Source organism: Homo sapiens, chromosome 20, assembly GCF_000001405.40.
Source record: "Homo sapiens chromosome 20, GRCh38.p14 Primary Assembly".
NCBI classification, from domain to species: domain Eukaryota; kingdom Metazoa; phylum Chordata; class Mammalia; order Primates; family Hominidae; genus Homo; species Homo sapiens.
This window is the reverse complement of record NC_000020.11, coordinates 13,374,508-13,392,186: the sequence shown is the minus strand read 5'-3', so window position 1 is coordinate 13,392,186 and position 17,679 is coordinate 13,374,508. Positions and strand designations below refer to the sequence as shown.

Genomic DNA, 17,679 nt, shown 5'->3' with positions numbered 1-17,679 from the left:
TAAAAATGCATTGCTATTTAAATATTGTAAAGGTACTTTGTTAAGTTCTTCTGCTTGTAGGATACTCTAGAGTCTACACAGTCCTTGGACACTTGCTCAGTGTAAAACAGTTTATTGCATTTTTTATGCTGACATCCAAGTTTGTTGCAGAAAGTGGTCTGTTTTTAGGCTAAAGAGAAATTTAAGCTCACTTCTTTCTTTCTTTTTTTTTTTTTTTTTGAGACGGAGTCTCGCTCTGTCGCCCAGGCTCGAGTGCAGTGGCGTGATCTCGGCTCACTTCAAGCTCCACCTCCCAGGTTCATGCCATTCTCCTGCCTCAGCCTCCCAAGTAGCTGGGACTACAGGCGCCTGCCACCACGCCTGGCTAATTTTTTTGCATTTTTAGTAGAGACAGGGTTTCACCATGTTGGCCAGGATGGTCTCTATCTCCTGACCTCGTGATCTGCCCGCCTCGGCCTCCCAAAGTGCTGGGATTACAAGCGTGAGCCACCACGCCCGGCCTAAGCTCACTTCTTTCAAAAAGAACTCTGGAGATAAGCTCATATAAAACATTTTCTTAAACGGCTCCCACTGTTTATATGATTTGATGCCCCATTGAGATCTCCACAGGAAGCTTCAAACACATCTTGGCTCACACTTTTTCAGACCAAGGTTCTTGTCTTCTGATGAGACTCACCATGTTTCAGTACTTAGGAAAAGCTCGTTTAGAGAACAAGTAGAGAGGATTGCGTGAAGTTTATGCAGCCCCTCTTTCTTCTTAGAAATTCCAGACATTTATCTATCCTTGGATTAAGCCAGATCACCAAAAAGAGGAATTCTTGGCTGACCTCATCCTGACCCCTCATGAAACAGAGTGAAGTGCTTACTGTCTTCTACCGGAGCCTCCAGCCCCAGCCTCCTCTGAGTGATGTTGTAACACTCAGCCCTACAAAACTCCCTGTTGTATAGCTGATGTCTTCACTCAGTCACTAAACACAGTGCCCTCTTTACAAAGACTATAGGAGAAATGGCTCCTTGGTCTCAGTGCCAGGAACAATTGTTCTCATCCAAGCAGTGGGTTTGCTGTGATCTTTATGCTACATGAACCACCTACCTGATCTCTGCTGCTAGGAAACTGAGAGACAGGGCAGCAGGCTTGCCTCTGGCACGGGTACCAAACTCCTCAGCTTAGATTTCTTCGTTGGCCCCACTTCCGTCTTTACCTTATTTTGTAAGCTCTTATTTTTCTTCTCATTTCCTCTCCTACTTTAGGCTATTGAATTATCTGAGTTTTTGTAAGCTACTGAAATTCTTTAAGGAATAAATTTGGGATATAAACATGAATTAAGTATCCTTAGTTACTCTGTTTAGAAGACAAAACATATACAAATTACTAGTTTTCACATAATGACTATACTCAATAGAGCTGGCATTAAAACTGCTACTCTTGTGAATATAATTAAACTATACATTCTGTGCGGTCAGGGGTCTTGGCTAACTTGGTCACCTCTGTATCTCAAGTTGCTAGTGCTGTGCTTGGCATGTAGCAGATGCTCAGTAAATATTTCCTGAGCGATTTGAACAAACGATCTTTCAGTAACTAAAGTTTACCAGTGGTACAGTCTGTGGATGCTCAGAAGCAAAATGAAGGCCTAATGCTCTGGTGTTTCCTCCACCTTTTTTGGACACGGGTAGGGGTGTGGCAAGGGACACCGCTGACCCCTCTGATGCTCTGCTGTCTCTCTCTCTCTGCAGACTCACATTTCAAGACTTCCTCCTGGTGCGGTGGCAGGACAGTCTGTGGCAATCGAAGGTGGGGTGTGCCGCCTGGAGAGCCCAGTGAACTGACCCTTCAGGCTGAGTGTGAAGCGTCTCAGAGGCATTTCAGAACCTGAGCTTTTGGGGGTTTTTAACTGAAGTTGGTTGTTTTATCTTTCTTGTTTTATAATTCCTATTGCAACCTCGTGCACTGCTCGAGACACAAGTGCTGCTGTAGTTAGCGCTTAGTGACACGCGGGCCTTTGGTGGGTGAGCGGGACTGTGTGTGAGTGTGTGCGCGTATGTGCGCACATATGTGTATGTGTGGAGTATGTGTGTTTGCTTCTCCGTGGATGAAATAGAAACTCCTCATTGTGTGACCAGGAATGGTTAAATCATCTTTACAAAATGTGTGCTTTAACTGTTTACAAGTAAAACCTAAAGTTGCAGGAAACATTTTTTATTTCGTAAAGAGGTACCAACTGTCGCTGATGTGATATGTCAGAACTGAAGAGTAAATCTACTTGTTTAAATGACTTGACAGTGGTAGTGCTCCATTTAATAACAGTAATAAGTAATAAAGTGTTTTTATTTGTTAACCAGTTTAAGTGGATCCTGTGGTAACTTAAACTGTTGTTCTCATCCCTTATATGGGGCATTTTTCTTTAACAAAGAATGGTTTCAGTGAAACAATCTAGCAGAGAATTAATGTCAGAACCTTTTTAAATAATAGTCTGATTGATACAGTTTGTACTTATTTCATCAAGCTTTTCTAAGCTTAAATATTGCATAGCTTCGAGCTGTATGGACTATATTATGAAAGAATATGTAAAGAGAACATACAGTAATGCACAGTCCTTAATTTGTGTATAATGGAAAGTTATTTACAATATAACACTGTAAATAAGAAAGCAAAGTTTATGGGAAAATTCAATATTATCTTTGTTTTTGTTTAAATATATTTTTAAGATAAAGGCACAAAAATAAAAGAAGCGTATTACTGGGTATAGTATGTGACTCCTCTTCTCAGACTAATAAATTATCTTTTGAATCCTTGGTTAGAGAGCTATTATTTATTTTGTTTATAAAATGTTCTCCCAGAAATCATACCATTATCCATCTTGCTGTTGTTCTGATTGTTCCAAGGCCAGTGTTACGCAGTTAAAGAAGACACTGGCAAGATGCAAGTTGAACTTAGTACATGATTGAATGCTCAATATGGAAGTCCCTAAAATTTCTCTTGCAATTTGATAAAAATAACAAAGAGAAAGAATAAGAACACTTTGCTTTGAAAAATTGTAGTGGCAGCTAAAAGCTCGATAGTTTCAGTTGATAAATTACTTCTAAGTGTTATATTCAGGGATTCTGGAGCCACATAAGAAAACCAAGATTTTCCTTTTGATTTTTTCTTTTTTTTTTATGTAAGAAGTGGTTATCAAGAAGATACTAAAGATAGACTTGCTCAGGGGGAGGAAGTGCCCTGCACCATGTAATCATGGCTCTGGGCGGTAACTGATAAATCCCAGATAAAATTATACACTTGACATCAATGTATGGCCAAATTATAAAGGAAAGACAACCAAAATATAGTGGGTGTAAATATGAATAATTTGAGAGTTGCTGATTTGTATTCCTGGTACAGGCAATTACATTTGTCTTGCTGTGCTCTCATAGACAGGTTGGTGCCGTGGTATCTGTTTCTCATTCTTAATGAGGCTGAGAACTTAGTGAGAGATGGGCTGGCTGGTGGGGAGCCTTTGGCTTCAAAAGCTTTTGAAGACCTGTTACCTGTTGGCAGAGATTTTTCAGGAACTGGATTGGATCACATAAAACTATCAGGACACTTTGGAGTCTGAAAATCGTCTGACCAGTTTCACCAGGAATGCCACTTCTTTCATCTCCTTTTGCCCTTTTTCCATTTATATTTAAACATTTGAGCTTGTTAAGGACCCCTTTTATTAAGAGTTCAAAAACTGGCCAGTATAAAAGAGCACAGCGTCTCCAAGAACAGTTTGTCAAGACTTTACTCTTCAATTTTCTACATTTTTTTTTTAAGGAATATTGTGAAGCCAAGAGGGGGAACATAGTGATATTCAGAATCATGGAGGCAAAAATGTAACAGGTAATATAAGTTCCTTCCTTATCAGATCGGATATTAAAGATCAGCTACTGGAACCAGAGAATACTGAGAGATGTAAAATCAACTTCATTTCACACTAAAGTAGAAAAAGTAGAAACAGATGAGAAAATAACCTCATTCTCTAATCTGGCTTATATCACCAAGAATCTGAAGCTGTATTTTAAGGTGCCCACTTTTAACATGGATGCTTTTAACTGTGTGCCTATATTTGATTTCTTTGTAAGGTCTGAGTGTTGGATATCTGGTTCTCTTGAGTAGAATTAAGCCTGGTCTGGATTCCTCAAGGTGGTCACTGTGACCTAGCTCTGGATTTGGAAACAGGGGCATCTTCAGGGCTTGGTGAGGAGACAAGAGCATGTGATTTTGCTTAAGGCACCTGGAGTGCCTGTGCTGATTGGACTGTCTTGTCAGCTCTGCCACTGTTTTCTCTGCCTTCAGTATGTCTGCCTATGGCAGGCCCTTTCTTACCTTCTAATTACCATGTCTAAATGTGAACTTGATGTGGAGAAAGGAAAACAATTATACTCTGCTGGTGGCAATGTAAATTACGTCAGCCACTGTGGAAAGCAGCCTGGAGATTTCTCAAAGAACTTAAAATGGAACTACCATTCAACCCAATAATCCCATTACTAGGTATATACCTAAAGAAATACAAGGCATTCTACTGTAAAGACACATGCATGCATATGTTTACTGCAGCACTATTCACAATAGCAAAGACATGGAATCAACCTAGATGCCCATCAGCAGTGAACTAGATAAAGAAAATGTGGTACATATACACCATGGAATACTATGCAGCCATAAAAAAGAATGAAATCAGCCAGGCACATTGGCTCACACCTGTAATCCCAGCACTTTGGGAGACCAAGGTGGGTGGATCACCTGAGGTCAGGAGTTGGCCTGGCCAACATGGTGAAACCCCATCTCTACTAAAAAATACAAAAATTAAGCTGGGCGTGGTGGTGGGTGCCTGTAATCCCAACTAATTGGGAGGCTGAGGCAAGAGAATCACTTGAACCAGGGAGGCGGAGGTTGCAGTGAGCCGAGATCACGCCATTGCACTCCAGCCTAGGTGACGAGAGTGAAACTCCATCTCAAAAAAAAAAAAAAAAAAAAAAAAAATGAAATCATGTCCTCTCTGGCAACATGAATGGAACTGGAGGCCATTATCCTAAGCAGAAAATCAAATAATGCATGTTCTCAATTATAAGTGGGAGCTAAACACTGAGTTCACACGGACACAAAGAAGGGAACAATCGATACCAAGACCTACTTGAGAGTGGAGGGTGAGAGGAAGGTAAGAATTGAAAAACCACCTATCGGGTCCTATGCTGATTAACTGGGTGATACAATTATCCGTAAACCAAACCCCCACAACATTCTACCCATGTAACAAACCTGCACACGTACCCCCTGAACCTAAAATAGAAGTTGGAAAGACAGAAAATTAATGTGAAATTGAATTTGGATATCAATATGTTAGAATTTTTTTTACAAAGTATGTATAAATAAGTCCTAGATGCTAGTCTGAGGGGCTTGTCTGTGAGCAAAGTGAATGAATTTTGGTTTACGGGTATGAGGACATCTCTCGGGGCTACTCAAAAGCCTTTTTTGCATAATTTCCAGTTTTCTCCCACATTTGAGAGTGGTAATATTGCATACCAGTGACCTGCAGACAAGTGAGGTCACTCTGTTTTGACACTGGATGGAAGGAGGGAAGAAGGAAGGGAGGGAATGAAGAAGAGAAGATTTAGAAAAGAGCATCATTCTTGAATCTTGAGATTGTATTAATAATTGTGGGATCTTTTATTTTTTGATTTGGCCATTTTTATTACAAAGGTAGTCTGCTTATTAGGAAAAAAATTAGAAAATAGATAAGGAAAATTTTAAAAATGTAAATTTTAAATAAAAATTTAGCTCATAATCCTACTTCCCTAGAGGCAACCCTTAATAAACACCCTACAGACTCTTTATGCATGAATTTTCTGTGTGTTTTTAACACAAAAAATGGTGCTATATTGAACTCCCAAAATGGGGTTCTATAGCCTGCAGTTTTCATTTAATAATATCACAAAAAGATGACCAGACCTATAGGTTTACACAATCCCTCATTTACTGCTTTCCCATACAATGCTGGCTCAGCCTAATGATGCCCAGTACATATATTTGTTCCTTAAACTTCTGGGGAAATCTATGACAATGCTGAGCAGAATAGCTGATATCCATATTTTCAGGCTGCAGGTGCATACAACAAGCACTGTGGTAAGGTCTCAGCCAATGAAAGCCAGCCTGGAAGGCATCCTAGAGCAGGCCATGGTCATTGCTCTTGAACCTCACTGTTTTAGTATCCCCCACACAACTTTGACAGGCTTTTTCCAGAACGATGGAAAGCTATTCTGTCTCTGGGTGCTGTAGGCCACAAGTGCCAGGGAATCAGCACTCCCTAGAAGTTGGTGTATAAATTGGCTAGCTCCTTTGCTACTTGGGTGCGATAATACCGAATATGTGTTTCGCAGTTTTTGAGAGAGTTCCTACAGGAATTAAGCTTCAGTTTCCCCCTCTGGTAGTTGACTTAGTACACCTTGTGTTGGCTTTCTCCCCTTTTCTGGTTCCTTCTTGACTCTCCTACCTGTGTTTACTGAAATCATCTCCCAGATGAACTACTTGGAGTCAACTCCTTATCTCAGGGTTGCTTCTGGAGGACTTCACACTGAAACACATTCCACTCCACATGTATTCTTGGCCACTAGGGTTTTTAGGCCCTCCACTGAGGGTGGACTCACCAGTCTGCTTATGCCCCTCACTGGGGCTCTCCTCCTGACATGTGCACCTGCTCAGCCATTTTCATCCGTAACATCGGAGGGACATTCTCCGAGTGATAAGGCTGGATATGCCACAAAAGTTTGTGAAGTTCGCAACTAAGTCAGTGTTAACAGGCACCAGACTGCTGGAGACAGACAAACACTTTTAAGGATATGGTGAAGTAAACAGAAGCTGAAGAGCAACAGTTCATCAAGGACTGGTGGATGCCTTCAAGGAAATGACCTGGAATGGTGTTAACGGTAGTTGGAAGAAGCTTTAGCTAAAGGCGTTTCATGACTTTAAGAAATTTGCAGAGGCCAGAACAGTGTCCTGTGTCACGAACACATTTTCACGACGTGCATGCCATGGGGGCCTCACACAACACCCATTTCCAAAAGGGCATCTCTCAAGTCTGGCTGTTCATAACATAATTTCATGGTAAATTTTTCTTAATGTCTTCCAAAATTTTTCTTAAAACTAAATGTTTAAGGCACATCAGCATTGTTCTGACATAAATCCTATAAACGCTCAACACTGGGAGTCCCCTCTGCCCGCAAAACCCAGTCTTCCTGTTCACCTTAAGGTTGCAGTGGCTGGTGACCTTCAGAGGGAACAGAGGTGGAAGCCACTCCCCCTCCCAGGAACGCTGGCCCAAGACAAGGCTGAGCCCAGCAGCAATGAATCCCTGTGTATATGATTAATGTGTATGATTAAGTTGTTTTCATTTAGTTGTATTCTAAACCTTTCCCAGAAGCCGATTAACCAGGGGAAGGAAGTATGAGTAGGTAAATGTAGTGGGCTATAGGGGGAGTGAATGGGAGGTTGGAAACATAAAGTTAATAATATCACATTAATATTTGTTCTGGGGCCTTAAGAATTCTTAAGGAACACACCACCCCTCCCCAGCACTTAATTTGCATTCAAGTCCGCAAGGTATTAGCCAGATGTCTATGATCAGAAACTCACAGGCTGACCAAATTGACCAGGCAATCTTTTTTTTTTCCCCCATGCTTCTGTCTCTAAAGTGTTTGGCCACAGGAAGGATTAAATCTAAAACTGGCAAGGGCTTCCCTCCAAGGCGGCACACTCAGCTTCCAGAAGACCATCAGCCAAGCCCAAGGTGGTTCATTATGACCAGTTGTGGAAAGCTGGGAGAGAAAGTGAGTCCAGTGGTTTCTCCTTTACATGGTGCAGTTACTGAAGCCCTGAAACCACAAGTGGCAATGCAGAAAAACTTTGTGGGTGGGAGTTTCTTTGCCTTGAATTGCCATGGGGATTTCTTTGTCAACAGAGTGTCAGAAGCCTAAAAGAAAAAAATTCAAAACAATTCCTTTAACCTTTACTGTCGCTATTATGATGGAGATCCAAAGAGTTACTCCTAAAATGATCTTTCCTGGCCTTGGAAAATCCAGTAATGCTTAAGAGGTAGAGGATATCTTCCAATATATTAAGAAAAACATGTGTTCTTTTCCATGTACAAGTAGTAAGATTTTAATCTTTCCACCCAGGTTCTTCCCCCAAACCTGTTAACTAGCAGTCTTTCCCACCTGGTAAATGGTAGCTCCATCCTTCTGTGCACTCAGGCCAAAACTCTGGGGGTCATCTGTTTCATGTTCTATGGCTGAATAACAAATCACCCCAAGCCTTAATGGCTTAAACAACAACTGTTTTATTTGCCCACAATTCTGTAAATTGAGCTTAACGTAACTCAGTGGTTTTTCTGCTGCTCTTGCTGCTAGTCACTAGTGTGCTGCATTTAGCTGGAAGGTGAGCTAGGAGATAGGCCGAGCTGGGATGCTGGATGGCTGAGTGTCCTTCTTACTCCATGCAGGCTCAGAGCCTCTCTACAGCATCTTTCCACACCACATGCCAAAAAGACACGGCAGGTCAAGCTTCCCAGGAGCACAAAAGCAGAAACTACCAGGCCTTCTACAGGTTTAGGTCCATAATGGCCCAGCATCACTTTTGCCACATTTATTGCTTATATTAAATCACCTGGTTCAGCCCAGATTCAAGAGGGAGGGACAGCCTAAGGGCATTTGTAGCAGAGGCTAGATTCACTGAGGGCCACCACCTGACATCCTTGAATTTTTACTTTCCTTCTGTGATTCTACAACCAATCCATTCACAAATCCTGTTGGCTTTCCTTTAAAGTGTAGGCTGAATCTAACTGCTCCTTACCACCTCCACTGCTACAATCAGATTGTCTTTTGCCTGAGTTATTACAATAGGTTCTGCACTGGTCTCCCTGCTTCCACTCTTGTCCTGACAGTCACCTGTGCACTGGCAGCCAAAAGGAGTAAGATCATGGCACCTGTCTGCTCAAAACCTTCCAGTACACCTTGTCCCAGAGTTCCTACAAGGCCCTGGGATCTGCTCCTTCTTGTTCTCCGACCCCATACTATTTCTCTGGCCTCCTTGCTGTTCTTTGAGCAGCCCACACACCCTCCCATCTCAGAAGCATTGCACATGCTTGTACCCCCTGCTTGGAAAGCACTTTCCAGATGGCTTCACATGGCTTGCTCTTCCCTCATCTCCTTCAGCTCTGCTGGAATGTTACCTTCTTGGCAAGGTCGTCCCTGAGCAAGCTCCTAACCACACCCCCTCCAGCATTTTGCATTCCTTTTTTGCTTTATTTTTCTGTCACGTTTCACTTTCCACAAATATATGGACACTTAATTTTCAACAATTATGGCATAGCAAAGCAGTAGGGAAAGTGTATTTTTAAATGTTCCTGGAGCAAGTAGATACACAAGTGAAAAAAATGTGAATTATATCTCATGCCATACACAGAAATAAATTACAGATAAACTGTAAATCTAAATATAAAAGACAAAACACAGTTATTTATTAATTTTTGAGACAAGGTCTCCCTCTGTTGCCCAGGCTGGAGCACAGTGGCACGATCATGGCTCACCACAGCCTCAACTTCCCAGGCTCAAGCAATCCTCCCACATCAGCCTCCCAACTAGCTGGGACTACAGGTGTACACCATGATACCCAGATAATTTTTTATATTTTGTAGAGACAGGGTCTTGCCATGTTGCCCAGCTTGGTCTTGAACTCCTAGGCTTAAGCAATCCTCCCACCTTGGCCTCCCAAAGTGCTAGGATTACAGGTGTGAGCCACCGCACCTGGCCAAAACAAACCTTTAGAAGATAGTTTGGGGATGTTCTACTTCTGGGATGACAGCACGAGAAGCTCCACAGACTCCAACTTCCCAGAGTATTTGGAAAATGTTCTAAGAGCATAAAACAAATTAAGAATATGTTTTCAAGAAAAATTTACTGAAACTGGCTAAAAACAGCTAGTTTGTGGCATTTGGGCCATGACCCACTCCCTGCCCCCCAACTTCCAGCTCATACTGATAGAAGATTCACTCTGGTTGAGTGTGGCCAAGAAGACTGGGGCTGCCTCTCCTTTCAGCTCCCAACCAAGTCCTACTCTATCTCACCAGGAGGAGCAGGCTGCCGGCATTTCTCATCCCCTCCAACTCCAAGTTGAAGAGGCTGGATCCTGGTGTGCACATCTGAGAGGCTGGAGGCTACTTTCCTATAGCCATCACTTATTCATAGACAGAGACTCAACCCCAGGAAAGAAGTTTCTTTTCCCAAGAAAACTGAGGTCCCAATCACCCTTGCCCCGCAAATCATGTATAAATCAGATATTTCATTCTGGGATGGGCAAACAAAGAAGACCAGAGGCTACCGCCCTGCCCAGCACCCAGAATAATGGCTTAGAGAGTTTGCTGAGGGAGAGGCAGACTATAAGAAAAGAGCACTGATGCCCTCTCCAAAGAAACTGAATTTATCTAAAACAGAGTGTGGAGAAGTGCAAGCATAAGGGTGCTCCTGGTACTAAGAACAACAAGCTAAACAATACCCTAGCTAGTTCACCAAAAAGAAGCAAAAAAGAGGAATCTAAGAAGAGTCCTGTGGCATCAGAATAAACCTTAAAACTATCCTTAACAGACTTCTCAAGATGGCCAAATAGGAACAGCTCCAGTCTGCAGCTCCCAGTGAGATCAATGCAGAAGGGAAGTGATTTCTGCATTTCCATCTGAGGTACCTGGCTTATCTCATTGGGACTGGTTAGACAGTGGGCATGGCCCATGAAGGGTTAGAAGCAGGGTGGCACGTAGCCTCACCTGGGAAGTGCAAAGGGTTGGAGAACTCCCTTCCCTAGCCAAGGGAAGCTGTGAGGACCTGTGCCGTGAGGGATGGTGCATTCTGGCTCAGATACTATGCTTTTCCCACAGTCTTCGCAACCCACAGACCAGGAGATTCCCTTGGGTGCCTATACCACCAGGGCCCTGAGTTTCAAGCACAAAACTGGGCGGCTGTTTGGGCAGACACCGAGCTAGCTGCAGGAGTTTTTTTCCACACCCCAGTGGTGCCTGGAATGCCAGCGAGACAGAACCGTTCACTCCCCTGGAAAGGGGGCTGAAGCCAGGGAGCCAAGTGGTCTAGCTCGGCAGATCCCACCCCCATGGAGCCCAGCAAGCTAAGACCACTGGTTTGAAATTCTCACTGCCAGCACAGCAGTCTGAAGTCGACCTGGGATGCTTGAGCTTGGAGGGGGGAGGGGCGTCCGCCATTGCTGAGGCTTGAGTAGGCGGTTTTCCCCTCACAGTGTAAACAAAGCCACCAGGAAGTTTGAACTGGGCAGGGTCCACCGCAGCTCTGCAAAGCTGCTGTAGCCAAACTGCCTCTCTAGATTCCTCCTCTCTGGGCAGGGCATCTCTGAAAGAAAGGCAGCAGCCCCAGTCAGGGGCTTATAGATAAAACTCCCATCTCCCTGGGACAGAGCACCTGGGAGAAGGGGCAGCTGTGGGCGCAGCTTCAGGAGACTTAAATGTTCCTGCCTGCCAGCTCTGAAGAGAACAGTGGATCCCCCAGCACAGTGCTTGAGCTCTGCTAAGGGACAGACTGCCTCCTCAAGTGGATCCCTGGCCTCCATGCCTCCTGACTGGGAGACACCACCAAGCAGGGGTTGACAGACACCTCATACAGGAGAGCTCCAGCTGGCATCTGGCGGGTGCCCCTCTGGGACGAAGCTTCCAGAGGAAGGAACAGGCTGTAGTCTTTGCTGTTCTGCAGCCTCTGCTGGTGATACCCAGGCAAACAGGGTCTGGAGTGGACCTCCAGCAAACTCCAGCAGACCTGCAGCAGAGAGGCCTGACTGTTAGAAGGAAAACTAACAAACAAAAAGGAATAGCATTAACACCAACAAAAAGGACGCCCACACAAAAACTCCATGTGAAGGTCACCAACATCAAAGACCAAAGGTAGATAAATCCACAAAGATGAGGAAAAACCAGCACAAAAAGGCTGAAAATTCCAAAAACCAGAATGCCTCTTCTCCTCCCAAGGATCACAACTCCTTACCAGCAAGGGAACAAAACTGGATGGAGAATGAGTTTGATGAATTGACAGAAATAGGCTTCAGAAGGTGGGTAATAACAAACTCCTCCAAGCTAAAGGAGCATGTTCTAACCCAATGATAGGAAGCTAAGAACCTTGAAAAAAGATTAGAGGAGTGCTAACTAGAATAACCAGTCTAGAGAAGAACATAAATGACCGGATGGAGCTGAAAAACCCAGCACAAGAACTTTGTGAAGCATACACAAGTGTCAACAGCCAAATCGATCAAATGGAAGAAAGGATATCAGAGTTTGAAGATCAACTTAAATAAAATGTGAAGACAAGATTAGAGAAAAAAGAATGAAAAGGAACAAACAAAGCCTCCAAGAAATATGAGACTATGTGAAAAGACCAAACCTATGTTTGATTGGTGTACCTGGAAGTGACAGGGAGAATGGAACCAAGTTGGAAAACGCTCTTCAGGATATCATCCAGGAGAACTTCCCCAACCCACCAAGACAGGCCAACATTCAAATGTAGGAAATATAGAGAACACCACAAAGATACTCCTTGAGAAGAGGAACCACGAGACGCATGTTTGTCAGATTTACCAAGGTTGAAATGAAGGAAAAAATATTAAGGGTAGCCAGAGAGAAATGTCGGGTTACCCACAAAGAGAAGCCCATCAGACTAACAGTGGATCTCTCTGCAGAAACCCTATAAGCCAGAAGAGAATGGGGGCCAATATTCAACATTCTTAAAGAAAAGAATTTTCAACCCAGAATTTCATATCCAGCCAAACTAAGCTTCATAAGCAAAAGAGAAATAAAATCCTTTACAGACAAGCAAATGCTGAGAGATTTTGTCACCACCAGGCCTGCCTTACAAGAGCTCCTGAAGCAAGCACTAAATATGGAAAGGTAAAACCAATACCAGCCACTGCAAAAACATATCAAATTGTAAAGACCATTGACCCTATGAAGAAACTGCATCAACTAATGGGCAAAATAACCAGCTATCATCATGATGACAGGATCAAATTAACATATAACAATATTAACCTTAAATGTAAATGGGCTAAATGCCCCAATTAAAAGACACGGAGAGGCAAATTGGATAAAGAGTCAAGACCTATCAGTGTGCTGTATTCAGGAGACCCATCTCACATGCAAAGACACACATAGGCTCAAAATAAAGGGATGGAGGAATATTTACCAAGCAAACTGAAAGCAAAAATAAAGCAGGGGTGGCAATCTTAGTATTTGATAAAATAGACTTTAAACCAACAAAGATCAAAAAAGACAAAGAAAGGCATTACATAATGGTAAAGGGATCAATGCAACAAGAAGAGCTAACTATCCTAAATATATATGCACACAATACAGGAGCACCCAGATTCATAAAGTAAGTTCTAGAGACCTACAAAGAGACTTAGACTCCCACAGAATAATAGTGGGAGACTTTAACACCCCACTGTCAATATCAGACAGATCAACGAGACAGAAAATTAACAAGGATATTCAGGACTCGAACTCAGCTCTGGACCAAGCAGACCTAATAGACATTTATAGAACTCTCCACCCCAAATCAACAGAATAGACAATCTTCGCAACATCACATCACACTTATTTTAAAATTGACCACATAATTGGAAGTAAAACACTCCTCAGCAAATGCAAAACAATGGAAATCATAACAAACAGTCTCTCAGACCACAGTACAATCAAATTAGAACTCAGGATTAAGAAACTCACTCAAAACTGCACAACTACATGGAAGCTGAACAACCTGCTCCTGAATGACTACTGGGTAAATAACAAAATTAAGGCAGTAATAAATAAGTTCTTTGAAACCAATAAGAACAAAGACACAATGTAACAGAATCTCTGGGACACAGTTAAAGCAGTGTTAAGAGGGAAATTTATAGCACTAAATGCCCACAGGAAAAAGCAGGAAAGATCTAAAATCGACACCCTAATGTCACCATTAAAAGAACTAGAGAAGCAACAGCAAACAAATTCAAAGTTAGCAGAAGAAAAGAAATAACTAAGATCAGAGTAGAACTGAAGGAGATAGAGACACGAAAAATCCTTCAAAAAAATCAATGAATCCAGGAGCGGGTTATTTGAAAAAATTAACAAAATATATAGACTGCTAGCCAGAATAATAAAGAAGAAAAGAGAGAAGAATCAAATAGACACAATAAAAAATGATAAAGGGGATATCATCACTGATCCCACAGAAATACAAACTACCATCAGAGAATACTATAAACACCTCTATGCAAATAAACTAGCAAATCTAGAAGAAATGAATAAATTCCTGGACATATACACCCTCCCAAGACTACACCAGGAAGAAGTCAAATCCCTGAATAGGCCAATAACAAGTTCTGAAATTGAGGCAGTAATTAATAGCCTACCAACCAAAAAAAACCTAGGACCAGATGGATTCACAGCTGAATTCTACCAGAGATATAAAAAAGAGCTGGTACCATTCCTTCTGAAACTATTCCAAACAATAGAAAAAGAGGGAATCCTCCCTAACTCATTTTATGAGGCCAGCATCATCCTGATACCAAAACCTGGTGGAGACACCACAAAAAAAGAAAATTTCAGTCCAATATCCCTGATGAACACTGATGCAAAAATCCTCAATAAAATACTGGCAAACCGAATCCAGCAGCATATCAAAAAGGTTATCCACCATGATCAAGTTGGGTTCATTCCTGGGATGCAAGGCTGATTCAACATACACAAATCAATAAACGTAATCCATCACATAAACAGAACCAATGGCAAAAACCACATGATTGTCTCAACAGATGCAGAAAAGGCCTTTGACAAAATTCAACAGCCCTTCGTGCTAAAAACCCTCAATAAACTAGGTATCGATGGAATGTATCTCAAAATAATAAGAGCTATTTATGGCAAACCCACAGCCAATATCATATTGGATGGGCAATAGCTGGACACATTCCCTGAAAACTGGCACAAGACAAGCATGCCCGCTCTCACCACTCCTTTTCAACACAGGGTTGGAAGTTCTGGCCAGGGCAATCAGACAAGAGAAAGAAATAAAGGGTATTCAAATAGGAAGAGAGGAAGTCAAATAATCTCTGTTTGCAGATGACATGATTGTATATTTAGAAAACCCCATTGTCTCAGCCCAAAATCTCCTTAAGCTGATAAGCAACTTCTGCAAAGTCTCAGGATACAAAACCAATGTGCAAAAATCACAAGCATTCCTATACACCAATAATAAGCAAACAGCCAAATCATGAGTGAACTCCCATTCACAACTGCTACAAAGAGAATAAAATACATAGAAATACAACTTACAAGGGTTGTGAAGGACCTCTTCAAGGAAAACTACAAGCCACTGCTCAAGGAAATAAGAGAGGACACAAACAAATGGAAAAACATTCCATGCTCATGGATAGGAAGAATCAAAATTGTGAAAATGGTCATACTGCCCAAAGTAATTTATAGATTCTATGCTATCCCCATCAAGCTACCATTGACTTTATTCACAGAATTAGAAAAAAAACTATTTTAAATTTCATATGGAACCAGAAAAAGAGCCCATATAGCCAAGACAATCATAAGCAAAAAGAACAAAGCTGGAGGCATCACGCTTCCTGACTTCAAACTATACTACAAGGCTACAGTAGCCAAAACAGCATGGTACTGGTACCAAAACAGATATATAGACCAATGGAACAGAACAGAGGCCTCAGAAATAATGCCACACATCTACAACCATCTGATCTTTGACAAACCTGACAAAAACAAGCAATGGGGAAAGGATTCCCTATTTAATAAATGGTGTTGGGAAAACTGGCTGGTCATATACAGAAAACTGAAACTGGACCCCTTCCTTACACCTTATAAAAAATTAACTCAAGATGGATTATACACTTAAACATAAGACCTAAAACCATAAAAACCCTAGAAGAAAACCTAGGCAATACTATTCAGGACACAGGCATGGGCAAAGAGTTCATGATGAAAACACCAAAAGCAAAGACAACAAAAGCCAAAATTGACAAATGGGATCTAATTAAACTAAAGAGCTTTTGCGCAGCAAAATAAATGATCATCAGAGTGAACAGGCAACCTACAGAATGGGAGAAAATTTTTTCAATCTACCCATCTGACAAAGGGCTAATATCCAGAATCTACAAGGAACTTAAACAAATTTACAAAAAAAAAACAACCCCATCAAAAAGTGGGTGAAGGATATGAACAGACACTTCTTAAAAGAAGACATTTATGCAGCCAGCAAACATGAAAAATTCATCATCACTAGTTACTAGAGAAATGCAAATCAAAACCACAATGAGATACTGTCTCATGCCAGTTAGAATGGCAATCATTAAGAAGTCAGGAAACAACAGATGCTGGAGAAAATGTGGAGAATTAGGAACGCTTTTACACTGTTGGTTGGAGTGTAAATTAGTTCAAACATTGTGGAATACAGTGTGGTGATTCCTCAAGGATCTAGAACCAGAAATACCATTTGACTCAGCAATCTAATTACTGGGTATATACCCAAAGGATTATAAATTATTCTACTATAAAGACATATGCACACATATGTTTATTGCAGCACTATTCACAACAGCAAAGACTTGGAACCAACTCAGATGCCCATCAATGATAGACTGGATAAAGAAAATGTGGCACATATACACCATGGAATACTGTGCAGCCATAAAAAAGAATGAGTTTATATCCTTTGCAGGGATATGGATGAAGCTGGAAATCATCATTCTCAGCAAGCTAACACAGGAACAGAAAACCAAACACCGCATTTTCTCATGTATAGGTGGGAGTTGAACAATGAGAATGCATGAACACAGGGAGGGGAACATCACATACCAGAGCCTGTTGGGGGGTGGGGGGCTCGGGGAGGGATAGCATTAGGAGAAATACCTAATGTAGATGATGGGTTGATGGGTGCAGCAAACCACCATGGCACATATATACCTATGTAACAAACCTGCACATTCTGCACATGTATCCCAGAACTTAAAGTAAAAAACAAAACAAAACAAAACACAACACACCTATCTTTAAAAACTACCCCAGCCCAATTATACTGCTGAGTAATTTATATCAGAGGGCATTTTCCAAAACAATAGAACAATTAGTGGTAATTAGTGGAGCCTAATTGCTGGGTATAATATGAAAAGGACAGACATTTTAATGAAGATATGAGGGGAAAGAGACAATCAAAGAAAACTGCTAAAATTATTTTAATTCCAGGGTGAGCAGGTGCATGCCCAAGGCTGCATCCTGTGAGGAGTGACAGCCAAGGCTTTACACTGTGAGAGAAATGGTTTTATCAAAATGGACTAGCTAAGTCACCAAACAAATGAGCAAAGAAACAGCAACAAAAACAAGACCCAGAAAGGGAAGAGATGAACTAATAACCAGAGTTGCTACAAAATGTTACCTAAAATGTCCACTTTTAAAAAAATTACGAAAGAGGCCAGGTGTGGTGGCTCATGTCTGTAATCCCAGCACTTTGGGAGGCTGAGGCGGGCAGATCACAAGGTCAGGAGATCGAGACAATCCTGGCTAACACGGTGAAACCCCATCTCTACTAAAAATACAAAAAATTAGCCGG

The 17,679-nt window shown here is 41.8% G+C and overlaps 1 protein-coding gene across 17 annotated transcripts in view; it reads left to right on the top strand.

The window, feature by feature from the left end:
* TASP1 (taspase 1) overlaps positions 1-17,679 on the top strand; it is a 534,161-nt gene that overhangs the window by 246,746 nt on the left and 269,736 nt on the right. For 14 of the 17 annotated variants that reach the window (NR_136629.2, NR_136628.2, NR_136630.2 and 11 more), the window contains one exon: positions 1,735-2,793. The exons of the other annotated variants lie outside the window; for them this stretch is intronic. Coding sequence is in view for 10 of the 14 variants with exons in the window: in NM_001323602.2 (NP_001310531.1) it covers positions 1,735-1,827 (93 nt within the window). In the remaining 4 variants the exon portion in view is untranslated. Of the gene's footprint in view, positions 1-1,734; positions 2,794-17,679 lie in introns of those variants that run through there. 17 annotated transcript variants of the gene reach the window in all.